This window comes from Homo sapiens, chromosome 15, assembly GCF_000001405.40.
Source record: "Homo sapiens chromosome 15, GRCh38.p14 Primary Assembly".
NCBI lineage: Eukaryota > Metazoa > Chordata > Mammalia > Primates > Hominidae > Homo > Homo sapiens.
In genome coordinates, this window is record NC_000015.10 from 44,485,557 (window position 1) to 44,500,757 (window position 15,201).

The window sequence follows — 15,201 nt, forward strand, 5'->3', positions numbered from 1 at the left end:
AATGCAGCAGCTTATCTGCAGATAAGGTAGTAGAGGCAGAGCTCAGGCGTTAATGCTTGTTCACCTCCTGCTCTGCGGCCCAGTTCCTAATAGGCTGCGGACTGGTACCAGTGGGTATGGGGTTAGGGACCCCTGCTTTAGAGTATGGAGTACTGTTTTAACGAATGCTATCTTAAACACAGCAGCAATTTCTCCCCTTGTCTCTGCCCAGTGCAGCAATATATCTTTATTGTTAGAAAAAACAAACCAGGAGGGAGAAAAAGACTGAGACAAGACAAGGGGGACAAAATAGAGAAAGAAACAAGTTAAAAGAACCATAGCAAAGAAGGAAATAAGTGTTGTAGACATCAAAAGTTGAGGAGAATCAAAGGATGATTAATTAGAACAGTTGATTGATTTTACTTTTATATTCTTAAAAGATCTGTGGAACATTTTGATTTACAGGAAACTTAAAATTATTTTCCCTAGCCACTCTGAGATGGCGTCTCAGTGTCCATAAGTAATTTTTGACACTGCTATATATAGCCTTTTGCTTCAGTAGAGTTATGTTGCCTCTATTCATTTCGCTGTCATTCATTAGATAGAAGCAGATGTGAGGGAAGGTTTTATGAATTAGAACCGTCCTAGAATGTAAACAAAAATAAAATTATTTGTGTTTTAGTTGGTGGGAACTAGTTTGCTTGTTTACAAAGAATTTTCTTCATTTTGTGTTATACTGTGTTGATTTGAAGCCTTTCAGTCTATAGGTGTAAATCTACTTTGAAAAAACTCAGTAAATATTAGCATTATAAACACATTGATACATAAAGAGCATTTGACTTACGAGTAATTTACCTCAATGTTTCTTTAATAAGCTTTCCTGAACATTAACATTAATTAGCTTTCGTGAAGTATTTTGAGGGAAAAAGAGTTACTTCTATAATGAATGATTTATAACACACTTCTGAAATTCAGTGTTTTCTAGATCATGACTTTTTTCTTGTTTCTTTTTTAGAAGCTGGTAGTTATGAAATGACAAATCAACATGTAAAACAAAATGGAAAATTAGAAGATAATCCTTCCTCTGGCAGTCCTCCAAGGACTACTTTGTTGGGGACCATATTTTCACCTGTCTTCAACTTTTTTTCACCAGCAAATAAAAATGGTAAGTATAAACTGTTAACTGTGATTTGGATTTTTTTTAAAAAAATGCATAGTTTGGGTTTTTTTTTTTTTTTTTTCTTGAGACGAAGTCTCTCTTTGTTGCCCAGGCTGGAGTGCAGTGACGCGATCTCCCCGCTCACTGCAGCCTCTGCCTCCCAGGTTCAAGCAATACTCCTGCCTCAGCCTTACAAGTAGGTGGGACTGTAGGTACCTGCCACCATGCCCGGCTAATATTTTTTGTATTTTTGGTTGAGACGGGGTTTCACCATGTTGACCAGGCTGGTCTCAAACTCTTGACCTTCAAGTGATCCGCCCACCTCGGATTCCCAAAGTGCTGGAATTACAGATGTGAGCAACTGTGCCCAGCAAAAAAATACATAGTTTTTAAAAAGATCTTTTTTATTTTATTAGCATATTTTGTCAATGTCTCGTGTATGTTTTCCACCTCATTAATAATATACAGCTCCTTGGGAGCTGGGTGTGGTGGCTGATGCCGGTAATCTGAACTCTTCGGGAAGCCAAGACAGGAGAATTGCTCAAGGGCAGGAGTTTGAGACTAGCCTGGGCAACATAGTGAGACCCTGTCTCTACAAAAAAATGTAAAAATTATTTGGGCGTGGTAGTGCACGCCTGTAGTCCTAGCTACTCCAGAGGCTGAGGTGGGAGGAATGCTTCAATCCAGCAGTTTGAACCCAGGAGTTTGAGGCTGCAGTGTGCTGTGATTGTACCACTGCACTCAAGCTTGGACAGCCAAGTAGGGGGTCCACGTAAAAAAAAATAAAAAGAATGGAATGGTCCTGTCTTCTGGGTGGCAGGGGTAGTGGCTCACAAAAGGCTTGAAAGAAAAGCCGAATCTGGAAAAGTGGCAAAAGCCATTCCAGGTAGAAGGAGCAGCATGCGTAGAGGCCTTGCAGCAGAAAACAGCATAGTGTATTTGAGAGCTGTTTGTAGTTTGTAATTGATGGAACATTGCATTTGAGAAGGGATAAGGTAGGAGAGCTATGAAGAAGTCATATAATAGAGCTAACATAGTAAGATGATGAACTTTATTCAAGTATGGGATAATTGAAAGTTTGTTTTGTTTTGTTTTTTTCCCCAAGGTGAAAGCAATTTTATTAAGAAAGTAAAGGAATAGGCCGGGCACCGTGGCTTATACCTGTAATCACAGCACTTTAGGAGGCCGAGGCAGGTGGATCATGAGGTCAGGAGTTCAAGACCAGCCTGACTAACATGGTGAAACCATGTCTCTACTAAAGAAAAATACAAAAGTTAGCTGGATGTGGTGGCATGTGCCTGTAATCCCAGCTACTCAAGGCAGGAGAATCACTTGAACCCAGGAGGCGGAGGCTGCAGTGAGCTGAGATCATGCCACTGCACTCCAGCCTGGGTGACAGAGCAAGACTCCGTCTCAAAAAAAAAAAAAAAAGAAAAAGGAATAAAGAATGGCTCCTCCTCCATAGGCAGAGCGGCCTGAAAGGTTTTAAACTGGTGAATAATACGATCAGATCTATGTTTTATAAAGATCACTTGGGCAGTAGTGTGTAGACTAGATTCTGAAGAGGCCATAGGCAGGTAGAACAATTAGTAGACTTGTAGTCGTTTGTGTGAGACTTGATGAGACCTTAATTGTATTAGAGAAGACAGGAAGGATCAGAGGATAGAAAATAGACACATTTTTGGTGCAGATTGGAGGTGAAAGAGAATAGAGATGAAGATGGCACAAGAGTAGAAGATTCAAGGAAAATAAAGTTCCTGGGAGATAGATAATTGAGTGTAATTTGGACCATGCTGAGTTTGAGATGCCATGAAATATTTAAATAAAAATATTCAGGCTGGGCGCGGTGGCTCAACGCCTGTAATCCGAGCACTTTGGGAGGCCGAGATGGGCGGATCACTTGAGGTCAGGAGTTCAAGACCAGCCTGACCAACATGGAGAAACCTATCTCTACTAAAAATACAAAAAAATTTAGCTGGGCATGGTGGCGCACACCCACCTGTAATCCCAGCTACTCAAGAGGCTGAGGCAGGAGAATTGCTTGAACCTGGGAGGCCGAGGTTGCAGTGAGCTGAGATCGCACCATTGCACTCCAGCCTGGGCAACAAGAGTGAAACTCCATCTCAAAAAACAAAACAAAACAAAAAAAACAAACCCCAGTAGTAATATTTTCCCCTCATGCTGAAGTAAAGAATCTCTGAAGGTGTGTATATCTCTGAAGGTGTGTACAGAAATAGATGTCTGGGGAAGAAGGAGTTGAAGTTTGATAGAGTTTTCTTGGAAGGAAGAGATGGTGTCATTAATGATAGTTCTAGTGGAAGGGACTTGGGAAGAATAGTGAAGGTTTACATTGATATTTTCTTTGTGTGTGTCTCTGTCTCTCTCTCCCCACCCCATACACACACAACCTCTCTCTCCACTCCCACATCTGTCTCTTCCCCCCTCCCCCCCACCTACCTCCTCCCCTCCCCCTGCCTTTCCCTGTCTCTGTGTCTCTGTTTTATTTGGATTATGACCAGTCTTTGTAATTGTATTTTTTGTTCCATAGCCTGCAACTAGGGTCTGAGAAGCCTGTTGGTTACGTTGATTCAAGAGGGATTTCTTGATGGATGACAGTGGAGGAATGAGGGATCAAGGATACTGAGGCTGCCAGTTTGACAGTGTATTTAAGTGATACACCACGAAGTCTAACTAGATGAGGAGGGTTGAGAAGAAGTGTTTGAGGGACGTGTTTGGAATTAAACAGACTGGCCTTTATCAAGTTTGAAGATCACATATAATGGGAGTATGAGATATATAATTTGAGGGTTAGGAGGTTGTGCTAAGTGGTTAATACAGTATTAGAATTTTAGGCTTCAGAGGTGAAGTTTCTCAGTGTTAATGTCCAGGTTATAGCTATGGTAGTAACTGATATAGAGCAGTATGAGTGAAGGTGGTTGGAGCTGAAGAGGGCAAGAACTTTGAGGATTAGTCATTGGATGAGTCATTGACATCATCTGTAATAACAACTAGAAAAAATACTGTGTTAAATAGAGCAGTAAACTAGTAGCTATGTATTAAACTTCTTTGCGATTGAGAGGATTCTGGCAGTAGATGGTAGGTGCCAGCAGTGAGGATAAGTGAAGAATTATATAGCCATGTGACATCAGTCTCAAAAGAGCAGACTTTTTTTGCACATTAGTGGAAAACCAGCGATTGGATAGTAGCAATGGAGATAAATGAATTCTGATTCAATTAGTATATTGGTATGGGAGAATAAAGAGCATTGAGGGAAGGGTATCAGAAAAACCTTTTAGGAAAGAGGTTAAACTTAAAGCAACAAGGGAGAAGGAATGTTCTGTAAGGAAGTTGAGAATATTGGAGGTTAATTTTTTTTGTTATTTTTGTTTAAAATGACATTTGGAAGATTCCAGAAGGAAATGGAAAGACCTGGGATTATTATTTTTTCTTTTTTAATTGAGACAGGGTCTTGCTCTGTCACCCAGGCTGGAGTGCAATAGTACGATCACCGTTCACTGCAGCCTTGACCTCCTTCTGGGCCCAAGCGATCCTCCCACTTCAGCCTCATGAGTAGCTGGGATCACAGATGTGCACCACCACACCCAGCTAGTTTTTATATTCTTTGTAGAGACAGCCATGTTGCCCAGGCTGGTTTTGAACTCCTGAGCTCAAGCAATCTGCTTGCCTCAGCCTCCCAAAGTGCTGGGATTACAGGCATGAGTCACCACACCTGGCCCAGTCTTTGTTATTGAGATGGAGTTTTGCTGAGAAATTATTTTTATATCTTTTAATTAAAAGGTTCTCATGATTAGGGGAACAGCTAATTTTTTGATACCTCTGGTTGAAAAATTACAATTGCACACATGACTAGGATGCAGAAACTTTGCTCACAAATGTTACTCTAGCCTGTAAGTCTTTATTCTTCATTGTTTGAAATAGCTAGCAAAGATTCTCTAAAAGCAATATACTCAGCTTTGTTCCTGCAGGAATGATCAGTCTAAATAAATATATTGTACGGTGATGCTGCATTTAGTTTTTCTAAATAGGTGCATTTTTAAATGATGATAGTACACTGAATCATGATTTCAGGAACGTCAGGATCAGATTCTCCAGGACAGGCTGTGGAAGCTGAAGAAATAGTAAAACAACTTGATATGGAACAGGTGGATGAGATCACTACCAGTACTACTACATCAACTAATGGAGCAGCTTACTCAAATCAAGCAGTTCAAGTGAGACCATCACTAAACAATGGTTTAGAAGAAGCAGAAGAAACAGTTAATCGTGATATCCCACCCCTTACAGGTGAAGAAAATTTCTTTTCTTATACATCTTCATGAGTAGTTGATAAAAAATAACAGTATTTCATATTTTTTCTTAAATGAGCACATTATATGCATAGGTTTTTCTTCCTGGAAGTTAAGAAAAAGTTAAAATTGGAAACAAAGCTTTGTCCCAAAAATCCAAAGTCATTTTGAAATTGAAATTTTTTAAAAGATTTTGACTAAGTATTAGTCATTTTACAGTTTAATTATTACTACTAATCTTATTGCTTGGAGAAATTTAATACAACTAACAAAATATATGCTCATGTTTATGAATATCCTTATTATTATTGCACAAGTCTTAGACCCTTATGTCTGAGGTCACTAGCTAGAGGCAGTCTCATACCTTCAGATTTGTTTGATTACATCAATGACATCCCCCCAAAAACTGCTTCTGTTCCTAGATCTCCCTATATACCTAAGTTTGCAGCCTGACTTGGAACCTTATAAAGGCCAAACATAATTATTGGGTTTCGGAGCCATTTGTCCTTGAAATGTGGAAACATATGGATCAGGAATTTCATTACCTCTGAGTACTGTGGTGGATAGACAGGGTACAAGATGGAATTGTGTTCCACCATTCTTAAAAGCAGAAATAAAACTGAAGAAGGCCATCTTCTTATTAGGGCATGGAGATTTTATCTTAAATTTGTTTTGTTTGTTTGTGTTTGTTGTTGTTGTTTATTGTGGTACCAGGTATTTGAGAGAGCGCAGTAAATATATATTAGTTAAGAAACATAGTTTGGGGCCAGGCATGATGGCTGGGGCCTATAACCCAGCACTTCAGGAGGCCAAGGCAGGAGGGTTGCTTGAGGTCAAGAGTTTGAGACCAGCCTGGGCAAAAGAGCCAGACCCTGTCTGGGGTGGAGTCTCACTCTGTCGCCCACGCTGGACAGTGCAGTGGCATGATCTTGGCTCACTGCAACCTCCACCTCCTGGGTTCAAGCGATTCGCCTGTCTCAGCCTCCTGAGTAGCTGGGATTACAGGCATGTGACACCACTCCCAGCTATTTTTTTTTTTTAACTTTTAGTAGAGACCAGGTTTCATCATGTTGACCAGGCTGGTCTCGAACTTCTGACTTCAAATGATCTGCCCACCTCGGCCTCCGAAAGTGCTGGGATTACAACTGTGAGCCATTGCGCCCGGCCAAAAAAAATTTTTTTAAATTAGCCGGGGATGGTGGCATGTGCCTGTAGTCCTAATTACTCAGGAGGCTGAAGTGGGAGGATTGCTTGAGCCCAGGAATTCCAGACTGCCGTGAGCTATGACTGAGCCACTGCAATCCAGCCTAGGCAGCAGAGCAAGATCCAGTCTTGGGAAAGACAAAAGAAAAAAAGAAACATAGTTTGGTTTAAGGAAATATAATATACAGATGGTTCCTGAGTTACAGTGGTTCAACTTCCAATTCTTTTACTTTACAATGGGTTTATCAGGGTGTTAAATGCATTTTGACCTATGATATTTGTGACTTATGATGGGTTTATTGGGATATAGCCCCATCATAAGTCTAGGAGCATCTGTACTTCTCTCAGCTATAAAAAGGAAACTTTTAAAAAAGTAATTGACACAGCAGAAAACATTTAAAGAAAATATGATACAATTATGAAACTTCTATATAATGCAATCCAGTAATACCAACGTGAAGAGACAAGCAGCAAAATAGGTTTATTTTAAAGTCATCAAGTGAAAGATTCATATGTATAATGTTAAATTCAGAATTTAAAAATAATACAGAATCTAACAGTCAAATCAATACAATTACGTTCATTCTTTTGTGGGTAATATTTGCAATTTAACCCACCTTTGACCCATCATTTTATGCTTATTACTTTGCCCAGTGGTATAAGACTAATAAAGTATAGACTAAAGTTCAGGGCTTTGGCTTCCTGTTCGATGTTTGTTCTGTATTTTCATGCTCTTGTATAAGCCTTTTTATTTATTTTTTCTGACAACTGTGAAGATGGAGAAAGGATTTCTGTAACTTAGCGGTTTCTAGAAGGGAAAATTAAGATATACTATAGTTGTCACAGTCATTCATTTATTCTCCCAGCATTTATGAGCACCTTTTTTTTTTGTGATTGGAACTGTTGATGAATTGACTCCTGAGGAGTTTGTGATCTAATTGAAGAGCCAAATATACAGAAACATCACTATACAGTATGGTGAGTGCTGCTACAAAGAAGTGAGCTAAATGACATGGTGTGTCACATTGCAGTTACTCTGATTGGGATGATCATGAGAGTATAGATAGAGGCATTTAGTATGAGTGACAAAAGTATTCTTTTCCTTAACTTTGAGAACATAGCCAAAGAGAACAAGAAGGTAGGAAGCTAGCAGCTGTGTTACTTTGGACAGCTTATTTAAGCTTTTGAGACAGTTTCAAAAACAGTTTTCTTAGCTTTAACATAGTTTTTGTAATACAAGGTTTTGCAGGCTAAAGGAGATAAAATAGGCAAAATACTTAGCATATAAGCACTTAACAAATATTCTTGGCTGGGTGCCGTGGCTCATGCCTATAATCACAGCACTTTGGGAGGCCAAGGTGGGCAGATCACTTGAGCTTAGGAGTTTGAGACTAGCCTGGGCAATATGGCGAAACCCTGTATCTACAAAAACAACAACAAAAAAATTAGCTGGGCATCGTGGCTTGCATACTATAGTCCCAGCTACTTGAAGGGCTGAGGTGGGAGGATTGCTTGAGCCTGTGAGGTCAAGGCTGCAGTGAGCTGTGTTCATGCCACTGCACTCTAGCCTAGGCAACAAAGTGAGACCTGTCTCAAAAAATAATAATAAAATAAAAATATTCTTTCATCTGAGATTAATAGGAACTTGAAATGGTAAAGTTGTTGGAGATTTTTTTTTGTGCTGATTATTGGAAGCATAATGTCAGAGATGAAAAAAAATTCTGCTTTACATCTGATGTCATCCATTGGACATACACACCACGTTGACTCTGTCTCAAAAGGTGTTAATACATGATAATTGCACAAAAGATTAATTTTTGTCTTGAAAGACTATTATCTACCATTTCATTTCTATAGAAAGACTATAGAAATTTTTATTGGGTTCTACTTTAAATTTTTATATCTGAGACGTTACCTATTTGGCTTGTAAGTTACCTTTGTCTTCTTACATTTAAGTTATAATTATTGTCTTGGAAAATTCCCAGCATAATTTCTAAAGCACTATCAAAAGATAAGCTCTTAGCTCAAACTGGGAATGAACTATGGCATGCAATATAGAATTACTTCTTGATCATTTTTAAGTGTTTATAAATTAGAAGTAAAATAGTAAGTCTTCTAAGCAGTGATTTTGATCAGGTACAGTGGCTCACCAGCACTTGAGGAGGCCTAGGAAGGAGGATCTGTTCAGCCCAGGAGTTCAAGACCAGCCTGGGCAGCATAACAAGATACTTTTTTGTCTCCACAAAAAAATTTTTAAAAATAATCCAGGTGTGGTGGTACATCTGTAGTCCCACCTACTTGGGAGGCTGAGGAGGATTGCTGGAGCCCAGGTCGAGTCCACAGTGTTTGCTCCACTGTGCTCCAGCCTGGGCAACAGAGCAGGACCCTGTCTCAAAAAAAAAAAGGTTAAAAGAATAATTTCTGGCTGGATGCAGTGGCTCATGCCTGTAGTCCCTGCACTTTGCGAGGCCGGGTCACCTGATGTGGATCACCTGAGGTCAGGAGTTCGAGACCAGCCTAGCCAACATGATGAAACCCCATCTCTACTAAAAATACAAAAAATTAGCCGGGCGTGGTAGCAGGTGCATATAATCCCAGCCACTCGGGAGGCTGAGGCAGGAGATTTGCTTGAACCGGTGAGGCGGAGGTTACAGTGAGCCCAGATCGCGCCACTGCACTCCAGCCTGGGCAACAGATTGAGACTCCGCCTCAACACAAACAAACAAAGAAAAAAACAGAATGTCTGCATAGAGTAGCATTTCTTAATTTTTTGTTTTTCTTTTTGAGATGGAGTTTTGCTCTTGTTGCCCAGGCTAGAGTGCAATGACACAATCTCGGCTCACTGCAACCTCTGCTTCCCGGGTTCAAGCGATTCTTCTGCCTTAGCCTCCTGAATAGCTGGGATTACAGGCATGTGCCACCATGCCCAGCTAATTTTGTATTTCTATAGAAATGGGGTTTCTCCATGTTTGTCAGGCTGATCTCGAACTCCTGACCTCAGGTGATCCGCCTGCCTTGGCCTCCCAAAGTGCTGGGATTACAGGCGCCCGCCACCACTCCTGGCTGCATTTCTTAATTTTTTAAGATTATAGTCGTGGCCGGGTGCGGTGGCTCACGCCTGGAATTCTAGCACTTTGGGAGGCCGAGGCCGGTGGATCATGAGGTCAGGAGATCGAGAGCATCCTAGCTAACACTGTGAAACCCCGTCTCTACTAAAAATACAATAATTAGCCAGGTGTGGTGGCACATGCCTGTAGTCCCAGCTACTTGGGAGGCAGAGCCTGCAGTGAGCCAAGATCACGCCACTGCACTCCAGCCTGGGTGACAGAGCGAGACTCCGCCTCAAAAAAAAAAAAAAAGAGATCATAGTCTTGAGATTCCTGGGAACATACAGTTTTTTAAAATAAATCTTCAAAGGGCTCATGAACTTTTTAAAGACTGTTCATGGTCCGGGCGCAGTGGCTCACGCCTGTAATCCCAACACTTTGGGAGGTTGAGGTGCACGGATCACCTGGGGTTGGGTGTTTGAGACCAGCCAGACCAACATGGAGAAACCCAGTCTCTACCAAAAATACAAAAATCAGCCAGGTGTGGTGGCACGTGTCTAATCCCAGCTGCTCACAAGGCTGAGGCAGGAGAATCGCTTGAACCTGTGGGGTGGAGGTTGCAGTGAGTTGAGATCATGCCATTTGCACTCTAGCCTGGGCGACAGATCGAGACTCCATCTCAAAAAAAAAACACAAAAAACCTACATTTGGGTCTGTTGTCAGCATACATTTACTGACTGCGTGTATGTACAAGGCATTTTATGAACTATTACCCCTATAAGAGCACCATGAAATTTTTTGGTGATTACATGTAAACACCATACAATTAGAAGATTACATTTTTTGGTGTATATTTTTCTAGTAATAAGTAGTAGATTTTTTCTTAGCTGATAAACATCTTAATTCTAGCCATGATCTGGTTTGCCATTTTTTCTATAGTGGTCATTTTTCCCTTTAGATCTAAAGTTAGATCTGTATGTTAATAAATTGGCTTTTAGGTGTTTACAAGTTATTTCTGTCTTTAAAATACACAAGGCTTTAGGAAGATCTTAGATAGAAGCAGTAAAAATATATATTTCATGAAGCATTAAGTAAAAGCAACATTTTTTCTTTCACTATGTTAAATAGCACCAGTAACTCCAGATAGTGGTTATTCATCAGCCCACGCGGAGGCCACCTATGAAGAAGACTGGGAAGTATTTGACCCGTGAGTTGCTTTTTTCTCTTTTTTTCTTTCCTTTTTGGAGCATGATGAGAGTACGTTATATATGTGGATTGGTGGCTAAATAGTATATTGCCAAGATATGTGACCTGTAGGTATTTGAAACTTTTAATGGGGCTGGGTGCAGTGGCTCATCCCAGCACTTTGAGAGACCCAGGCAGGCAGATTGTTTGAGCCTGGAGTTCAAGACCAACCTGGGCAACGTGGCAAAACCTCGTCCCTATAAAAAATACAGAAATTGGCCGGACACGGTGGCACATGCCTGTAGTCCCAGCTATTAGGGAAGGTGAGGTGGGAGGATCACTTGAGCCCAGGAGGCAGAGGTTACAGTGACCTGTGATAGAGTGAGACTGTCTCAAAAACAAACAAACAAAAACAGCTGTTACTATTTTACAGAGATACTAATTTGTATGTTTTCACTTTTATTAATATGTTTTATAAGTTTTGTTTTCTGGGTTAACTGCTTTATAGATTTTTAAATGGGCTGAGCTTAGTAATGTTCTATATGTATAAAAAGTAAAATGTTGAAATTTTCTTAAAATCTGATTTATAGCTATTATTTCATCAAACATGTCCCGCCACTGACAGAAGAACAACTAAATAGGAAACCTGCTCTTCCGTTGAAAACAAGAAGCACACCGGAATTCTCCCTAGTTTTAGACTTGGTAAGTATATTATCTGTAGAGGTAGAGAGAATAAAGGGGTGAAATTCTTTTTTAGAATCATGCTTATGTTAGCTTTCCCTTTTTTTTGTCAGGATCATGTTTTCCTGAAGGACCAAAAATAATTTGGGTCAACTTAATTAACCATATGCAAGACCATAACCCTTTTCTTATTCTTATTTTTACATATATATTATACCAATACACTTTTTATTAATAGTCTCAAAAGCACAATTTCTTATTTTTTTGAGATGGAGTCTCGCTCTGTCGCCCAGGCTGGAGTGCAGTGGTGCGATCTCAGCTCACTGCAAGCTCCGCCTCCCGGGTTTACACAATTCTCCTGCCTCAGCCTCCCGAGTAGCTGGGACTACAGGCGCCTGCCACCATGCCCGGCTAATTTTTTGTTGTGTATTTTTTGTAGAGACGGGGTTTCACCTTGTTAGCCAAGATGGTCTCGACCTCCTGACCTCATGATCCGCCCGCCTCGGCCTCCCAAAGTGTTGGAATTACAGGCATGAGCCACTGAGCCCGGCCCCAGTATGATATCTTGATGTGATTTAAAAATTTGTATTTTAGGGACTGGGTGTGGTAGCTCATGCCTGTAATCCTAGAACTTTGGGAGGCCGAACTTTTGGCCGATCACTTGAAGCCAGGAGTTTGAGACCAGCCTGACCAACATGGCAAAACCCATTCTCTACTAGAAATTCAAAAATTAGCTGGGCATGGTGATACACACCTGTAATCTCAGCTACTCTGGAGGCTGAGGCACAAGAATCACTAGAACCCAGGAGACGGAGGTTGCAGTGAGCTGAGATCATATCACTGTGCTCCAGCCTGGGCAACAGGGCAAGATTCTGTCTCAGAAAAAAAAATGATATTTTAGGGTACCAGAAAAGCTTTGAAAACAATGATCTCCTATCATTTGCTAACCAAATTTAATATATAGTCACATTTCCCCTCTGCCTCTTGATTTCTTATTAATTTTGCATTTTTAAAATCTGTTTACTTTTTTTAAGGCTAGTAAAGTGAAGCCCTGGGATTGAGGAAGGAACTAATTTCTTGATATTAGTAAAAATGTATCTCATGTCATATTGGAAAATATTTTATTATTAAGCATTTGTTACTGGAACCCTATAATTGGTACCCTATATTTGGAGATGTGGTTTAGCTCTCATAGAAAATTTATCTTAGCCAGGCACAGTGGCTCATGCCTGTAATTCCAGCACTTTGGGAGGCTCCATTCAGCCCAGGAATTTGAGACCAGCCTAGACAACATAGTGAGACCCACGTCTCTACAAAAAATGAATGAGCCTGGTGTTGCAAGCGTGTAGTCCCAGCTACTCGGGAGGCCGAGAGAGGAGGATCCCTTGAGGCCAGGAGTTTGAGGCGGCAGTGAGCTACAATTGTGCCACTGCATTGCAGCCTGGGCAACAAAGTGAGATCTCATTTCAATTTTAAAAGGAAGGAAAGAAAATTTATCTAGGTCAGGCACAGTGGCTCACGCTTGTAATCCCAGCACTTTGGGAGGCCAAGGCGGGCAGATACTTGAGTCCAGGAGTTTGAGACCAGCCTGACCAATATAGTGAAACCCCATCTCCACTAAAAATACAAAAATTAGCCGGGCGTGGTGGTGGGCGCCTGTAATTTCAGCTGCTTGGGAGGCTGAGGCAGGAGAATCACTTGATCCCGGGAAGTGGAGGTTGCAGTGAACCTAGATCATCTGGTGCTGAGTAAAATTACATGAAACGTAATTTGTGAGATACTAAAACATCTACTTAAAGTAAGATGCTTTATAAAAAGTTGGAGGATAAGGAGTTAAATGAACAGAGTATATATTTTTAATAATTAGATTCTACACTTACATTTGCTGATTGTAAAAAAGTAGCATGCATGTGGGTTTAACTGAAAGTTGGCAACTGCAGAACTCAAAGCCTTGCTTCTCAAACTTGAGCATGTGTCAGAATCCGAAGGGCTTCTAAAAACAGACATTGTTGCCAGGCACGGTGGCTCACTTCTGTAATCCCAGCACTTTGGGAGGCCAAGGCATGTTCCTGAGGTCAGGAGTTCGAGACCAGCCTGACCAACATGGTGAAACCCTGTCTCTACTAAAAATACAAAAATTAGCCAGACGTGATTGCTGGCGCCTGTAATCCCAGCTACTCAGGAGGCTGAGGCAGGAGAATCGTTTGAACCCAGGAGGTGGAGGTTGCGGTGAGCTGAGATCGCACCACTGCACTCCAGCCTGAGAGCGAGACTCTGTCTCAAAAAATAAAAATAAAAAAAACACAGAGATTGCTGAGACCCATCCCCTCCCCTGAGTTTCTGATCATCAGAAGTGAGGTTAACATTTGCATTTCTAACTAGTTCTCAAATGATGTTTATTCTGCTTGCTAGTCCAGGAGCTATACCTGAGAACTAGTGACTTTAGAAACTCCTACCCCAAATTGCTGTGCCACATATAGTAATATATTATAAATGTAAAATTCAACATATGAATGGGTGCTTTAGTGTTTTGGTGATTAAGGATAAAAGTATCCTTTGAAGTTTCTTTTACTATCTTGTTTCATTCAATTTCTGTTTTTTATTTTAAGGATGAAACACTAGTGCATTGTAGTCTAAATGAGCTAGAAGATGCAGCACTTACTTTTCCAGTCCTTTTCCAAGATGTCATTTATCAGGTAATTAAAATTTTTTTGATGATTTTTGGCCTGATAGGTAACATTCTGATAAAAAAAACTTTTGTATTTTTTTTGTGTGTATGTGACATTAAATGTGTTTTTCTGTAGAAGTATAATGGATTTCATCAACATTTTAATGATTTATTAACAAAATTAGCATCATGCTAGATATTACATAAAACAACATTAATTTGTTACTCCAAAAATGCTAACTTTCTTACCTTGAGATCTCAGCTAGTTTCATAATCTGTTTGCCAGCAGGTGGAGGCAGGAGCACTGACATCATAGATCCTCAAGAGGAACTTGCCAGGTTAACTCCTGGTGTTTTTGTTTTTGTTTTCCAAAAATCCAATTAATACAAAGAAAACTCATTCCTTGTTGATCATTTTATTTCCTATAGTAGTAATGTGGTCTGTGAAAATTACACTTTAGTACATCTCTTTTATAATTAATCTTAGAATTCCAGGACACTCTTCTAGTTATTGTTTTACTTAGGGCATTTTAGTTTGAGCATTTCTCTCTCATCTGTGCTGATGGACAGGTAACAGTGCAAAATACAAATATCATTAACATTTCACTGTGGATTATGTGTGCTGGCCATAGTTTTTACTTTAAGGTTTTTCCATTATTATAAGATTGAGTTAATAATATAAGTGAATACACTTTGAAAATTGCAAAGTACGTTTCTGTTTTGGAGGTTGTTATTTAACTAGCATTATTTGCATTATATAATAGTTGAAAGATTGGGAATCGAAAAGTTTGTTGTCTGTCAAGAGGGAGCCAGCCTAAAGATTAACTTAGTAAAGTCACAGAGTGCTTGCCATGTGGATGATGAAAATGTGTTTGGTTGTTTATGTGCTCTTAAAGGCAGTTAGAATGTGGTTATAGTTTTCTTGGCAGATAATAGTTGATGTCTCACAGAAACCGTGAAATTTAAGAGTTAA

General features: G+C 40.1%; 1 protein-coding gene across 14 annotated transcripts in view; it reads left to right on the plus strand.

The window, feature by feature from the left end:
• Positions 1-15,201, plus strand: part of CTDSPL2 (CTD small phosphatase like 2) — a 101,410-nt gene that overhangs the window by 57,928 nt on the left and 28,281 nt on the right. For 9 of the 14 annotated variants that reach the window (XR_007064453.1, XR_007064452.1, XR_007064455.1 and 6 more), the window contains exons 4-8: positions 995-1,144; positions 5,228-5,443; positions 10,824-10,902; positions 11,471-11,582; positions 14,171-14,257. Coding sequence is in view for 9 of the 14 variants with exons in the window: in XM_005254441.3 (XP_005254498.1) it covers positions 995-1,144; positions 5,228-5,443; positions 10,824-10,902; positions 11,471-11,582; positions 14,171-14,257 (644 nt within the window). In the remaining 5 variants the exon portion in view is untranslated. The remainder of the gene's footprint in view (positions 1-994; positions 1,145-5,227; positions 5,444-10,823; positions 10,903-11,470; positions 11,583-14,170; positions 14,258-15,201) is intronic. The other 5 variants (XR_007064454.1, XR_007064456.1, XM_011521665.3 and 2 more) reach the window with 1 other exon arrangement.